The 5,089-nt window shown below is 43.1% G+C and overlaps 1 annotated feature.

Moving 5' to 3' along the window:
• Positions 3,871 to 4,071: a silencer, noted in NCBI's record as "peak4849 fragment used in MPRA reporter construct". NCBI's record gives its function as "represses an SCP1 promoter by STARR-seq MPRAs in K562 erythroleukemia cells {active_cell/tissue: K562}" and the evidence as "EXISTENCE:reporter gene assay evidence [ECO:0000049][PMID:32103011]".

Raw genomic sequence — 5,089 nt, forward strand, 5'->3', positions numbered from 1 at the left:
CCCAGCTGATGCGGCAATTGACATTTCCAGTGGGTTACTGCCACAGGGGAATGTGGCCTTGGTGTTGCTGGACCTCCCAGCTTCTTGAGACAATCTAGAAATCTGGTTATTAAAGTAAAACTTTAAAAAATTACTAACATGGCAGCCAAAAGAAAACATGTCTATGGATCTAACTGGCCTTTGGGCCACCGGTTTGTAACCTCTGCAAAGATGCCCTGGACCACATTATGTGACAAGCAGCCCAATAATCACCTTTAAAATTAGTTTTTTTCCAAAAACCAACTCCACTCACTCAAGGGAGCTTTTGGGGGATTCTTGCTGCAATGCTTGGAGCCTCAGCGGCTACCTCTGCTTTCAGAGATCATGTTTGATTTTATTCATTCAACCAATATTTATTGAGCTGAGCTCAGCACTGGAATTACAATGGTAAATAGGACAGATATGATCTATTCTTTTAAAAACTCAAGATGTATTGGGAAGCATGTACAACAGACGCATAATCGCACTAATAAATATAAAATAACTGACACATGCCAAGAATGAAAGCAGAAGGTGTGAAGGACTGAAGTATAACAGGAGAATCAGATTCAACCTGGGAGAGTGCTCAGAGGAGGTCTAGGGATACCCAGGTGAAGAGGGCAGGAGAGCCTCTGGGCCAGGGAAACCATGTGCACAGGGACAGACAAAGCTGAGGAGTTCGTGGAGGAACTTACCCAAGGGCAGGAAGTCTGGGAAAAAGGCAGGAGAGAGAAGTACTAAACTGTGGACAAGGACCTGGTGACCGCACCTTGGAGGGTGAGGGAGGAACCTGATCTTATTTAAATGTCTTAAATAAGTGTCACTCTGGTACCGCATGTGGAGGACCTGTGGAGGAAATATGAATGAGTGAGAAGACAGAGATAATAGCCCAGATCAAAGAGGATGAAGGATGGGACCAGGGAGGGGGCTGTGCAGAAACATAAAAGTGGTCAAAAGATCTATTTGGAGATAGAGCCAAATGGACATATGATTACTCTATATTACTGCTTGGGATAAGCCAAGAATTACTTGCTGCTTCTGGCAGTTCAACTGGATCTGGGCTGAGGATGATAATTTGCTCTTCATGTCTCATCCACCATGGATGACTCATCCTTTCCGAGCTAAGTCCTCTGGCCTTGGTACACCCACAAGCCTCATCAAATATGGCACAGTGTCTGCAGGCTAACACTTGCCTTTCTGAATTTGGTTCTTTTAACGAAGTGGTTTCCAAGCACTTAACACCTCCTACGTTTGGTTTGAGTCCTGGGTGGGCAGAGGACACACCAGAGATTCTCCATGTATGTTTTCTAAGAGAGTAATGATAGCTATTTTATTAAGTGCCTGGCACAGTTCTAAGTGTTTTGCAAATAGTTAACAAATTTAATTGATTTAATTTTTACTTCCATTTTGAAGATGAGAAGATTGAGTCACAGAGAGGTTAAGTAACTTGCTCTAGGTTGTACATGGAACAAATATTAGTGCAGAGAAATAAACAGTCTATTCTAAAATCCACGCACTTAAGCTCTACTCTGTGTGTGTGAACACAATATAGGGCTCTGAGACAGAAGGGTGTCATGTGGACGCTCCATTCTGCATTTCTGTGAAAGACTCATGCAGTAATTTTGCCAACATTATTCCTATCAGTCTACCCAGCAAATGCTACCAGAGGGGATTTGTCTTGAACATGTCCTTCTTGGTGTCTGCATGGCCAGAAGCCTCTAGCTAGTGGTCCTCTGCCCTAACCCCTGGCTCACAGAACCAGAGTGGTTGCTAATTGGATCAAAGATCAGCCCTTGATCCAGGAGAGATCTGTTTAAAGGGTGCCAAAGCTCTGAGGTGGCCAGAAATTAAGGTCTACTCTACAAAAAATTATGGTCATGAGCTAAGCCCATATATGCTTCACAGTAGGACTTTGCCTGGAGGATACAAATACAATTGGCCCATAAAGAGCAAGAGACCAGCAGGGTAGATGAGTAGAGTCTGATGATGAGGATGGACTACATGGCAGGCAATGACAAATACAGGTATGCCATGGCCAGACTTCCACGCCTGAGTTTCCCATCTCAAACATCACCTCTGGACAGCAATGAATAATTTTAGGGATGCTTCTCAGAGTATTATAAATGCCTCAGGAGGCACTTTCCTGATGAGGAGGCTGTAGGGCAACTGGGCTTCCTGAGTGGCTGACAGAGACTGGCCAAGTGCTCTCAGTTTGCATTTCCAGGGGGCACTGATGCAAGTGAAACACCAGACACATGGGCAGAAAAATCCCAGTTTTCTGATTGCAGCCTGCTAGGACAGAAGGGCCTCTGTTTTGTTATTCTATCAGAGTAGGGATGGTTGGGATGTATTACCCAATTCCTCAAGGCCCCAAATGCCCTCTTTCCTTGGGACAGTATATTTTTGACAATGTTTGTGCCCTTTGTCATTGCTTTGCTTCCTCTTTCTGATTCTTAAATTGTAAGGTACAAACTTCTGCAAGCGAGTCTAGGACAGTGTTTTCTAAAATGTGTTATGACATTCGTATTATGACATTACCGCTTTCCATTCTTTGCCTCACCTTTTCCCCAAAGTGTTCCACCTTTAAACAAGTTGAAGATACTTTAGATGAGTCTCTAAGAACAAGGAGTATTATACCAGACAAAGGCCTGAGGCCTCCAGGAGACATACTTGGCATATAGTGGGTGATGAATACAAATCGTTGCAGAATAGACTGAGCCCAATAGTCAATGTTGTAAATGCTTAACTATCACTTTCTAGTTAAGCGAGGAAAAGCTATGGATTTTGGTCTTCAGCAAAAGCACATTTAATGATTAAGCTATAGATATTTTTTCAGGCTCATTTCCTTTGTAATTGAGAAATCTGCAATTTGGAAAGGCCATCGAGGACCCCTACACAAAACTTACTGACCTGTTTCTGACTTCACTGGAGCATGTGGAGCTGATGTTGCCAAAGGCCAGTTTAGATGAAACTGGGGCTGAGGACCTGGCACAAACCTGTCTGTCTACTTTTGTGGAAAATGAGCAGATGGAGAGAGAGGCTTATGCTTTCTGGGCAGTCATTAATAAGCCACTTAGAAACCATATCAATTCACTCAGCAAAGAATCAATTCCTTGCAAGAACACAGGACGGCATCTAATATTTCTCGGTACTTACTATGCACCAGCACTGTGCTGGGTGCTTTTATACAACTTATCTCATTGAATCCTTCAATGATTGTCTGGGGAAGGAGGATATTATCTTGATGTTACTTATGAAAAACTGCAGCTTGGAGAATTAAAGTGACTGGCCAGGGGTGTTACATTGAGAAGCGTTTGAGGGTAGATCCAAGCACCCATCATACTATTATACACTGTCTCGCCATGATATGGGGAAATGAAGGTGGCCAAAGATCAGGCCTCTGACCTAACCTTACTTCAAGATGGGCCAGGTGTAGAGTGTCCCTGCCTCTGACCAATCATGTTGTGCCGTGGAAACCCAGGGTGAAGACCCCAATTTTCCACTCACTCATGACTATCTCCTTATGACAATTAATAATTTATCATTTTCTCTTTAGTGCAATATTGTGGACTTTCACCTTGACCTGTGAGAACATTCCCTCCCCCAGACTCCCCTCTTACCGTCAAAAGATCAACTTCCCGAACTGTGGCTTATTGAATGCTTTCTTTGCATTTAGTAAAGAATGTAGATTAGGACCCCTTTCTCAGCTCTCTTTCATTGATCACGTGCTGAAGGTGAGTAGTGTACCTTTATATTTAGCATGCTTAAGGCTAATTATACCTCAGAATCAAAGGAGATGGCTCAAATTAAATGAGAAATGATTAAGTGCAGCAGAGTCTGATTTTCTAGCGAGATTAGAACCAAAATAAACCTAAGTGTAAAACCAGGATTCCTATACCTCGAGAGACACAGGACCAGGCCTTAAGGAGGTGAAGTTGGCGTCTTCTGTCAGGGCCGCGGCTATGAGCGCTGTCCTTGGTGCTGAAGCATCTTTTCCAGCTTGATGAGTGAGGGCTCAGAAAACCATGTTATGGCTTAGCATCTTGGTTATATTGGGTGGTTATTATTTCCCTTCTAAAGCCACAGGCTCCTCCTCAGAGGAAGAAGTTAAGTCAGTTTCTTCTGGTCTCACTGCATTATGCCAGCACCCATCAGCATGACCGAATGGCAGAAACAAGGAGGCTCTAGTTGAGTCTGGGGCTCTATGGGACCTCTTCCCATCAGTAAACTACCTCCATACTTCCAATATGGAGTCATAATCTATAAAAAGCATACCCAGGTTAGGAGACACAATCTCTGGGACATGGTTTACTGAATTAATATTTTTGTGATCTGTTTTAAAATGCAGGCGACTTATTTGAAAATCTTAAGTGGAGTCCCAAGGTACATAATAGATTAAAATTATCTGCTTTGGTTGAAGTATAGGAAATGTTTAAAACTCCAGCCACATAGTCTTGCCCCCAGGAACCCCTCAAGAGTCCATGTGAATATCCTAGGGGTCTATGGTGCAAGCCTGAAAGCCACTAATTTTAGTCCAACTGTTTTCTGGCCCTTGACTCCTTGCTTGATTCCTCTTTATCATTGGAAGCCAAGCTCAGGAAACCTCCTGCAGGAAGATTTACTTGACCCCTATGCTGAGTTAGGAGCTGTGCTCTCCCTGCCCGTACACCTTTTTGGCACTACGCTGATTACTCTGTTGGGTAATTTGGTGTCTCCTTCAGTAGACCCAGATTGAGAAGTAGAATCATGTGCCTGGAACATAGTAAGTACACAATGAATACCAGGAGGTTTATTTTTAATAGACACCCTTTCAGAGCAAAGTAGAAACTCATCTACAGCATTTTCAACACCTCCAGGAATGAGGAACTCACTCCAAATGGAGGTGGTTCATTCCATATTAAGGTTACTGTGATAGTAAGAGGCTTCCTCTTTATTTTGAGCCAAAATATATCTCTGTGTAGATCCCACTTTTTAGGGCTATACAGAACAAGCCTTACTACGTTCTCCAATTGGAGAAATTACCTTCAGGTAATTGAGGAGTGATATCACATCCCTCATTCCTGAGTTTAAT

Source organism: Homo sapiens, chromosome 3, assembly GCF_000001405.40.
Source record: "Homo sapiens chromosome 3, GRCh38.p14 Primary Assembly".
Taxonomy (NCBI): Eukaryota; Metazoa; Chordata; class Mammalia; order Primates; family Hominidae; genus Homo; species Homo sapiens.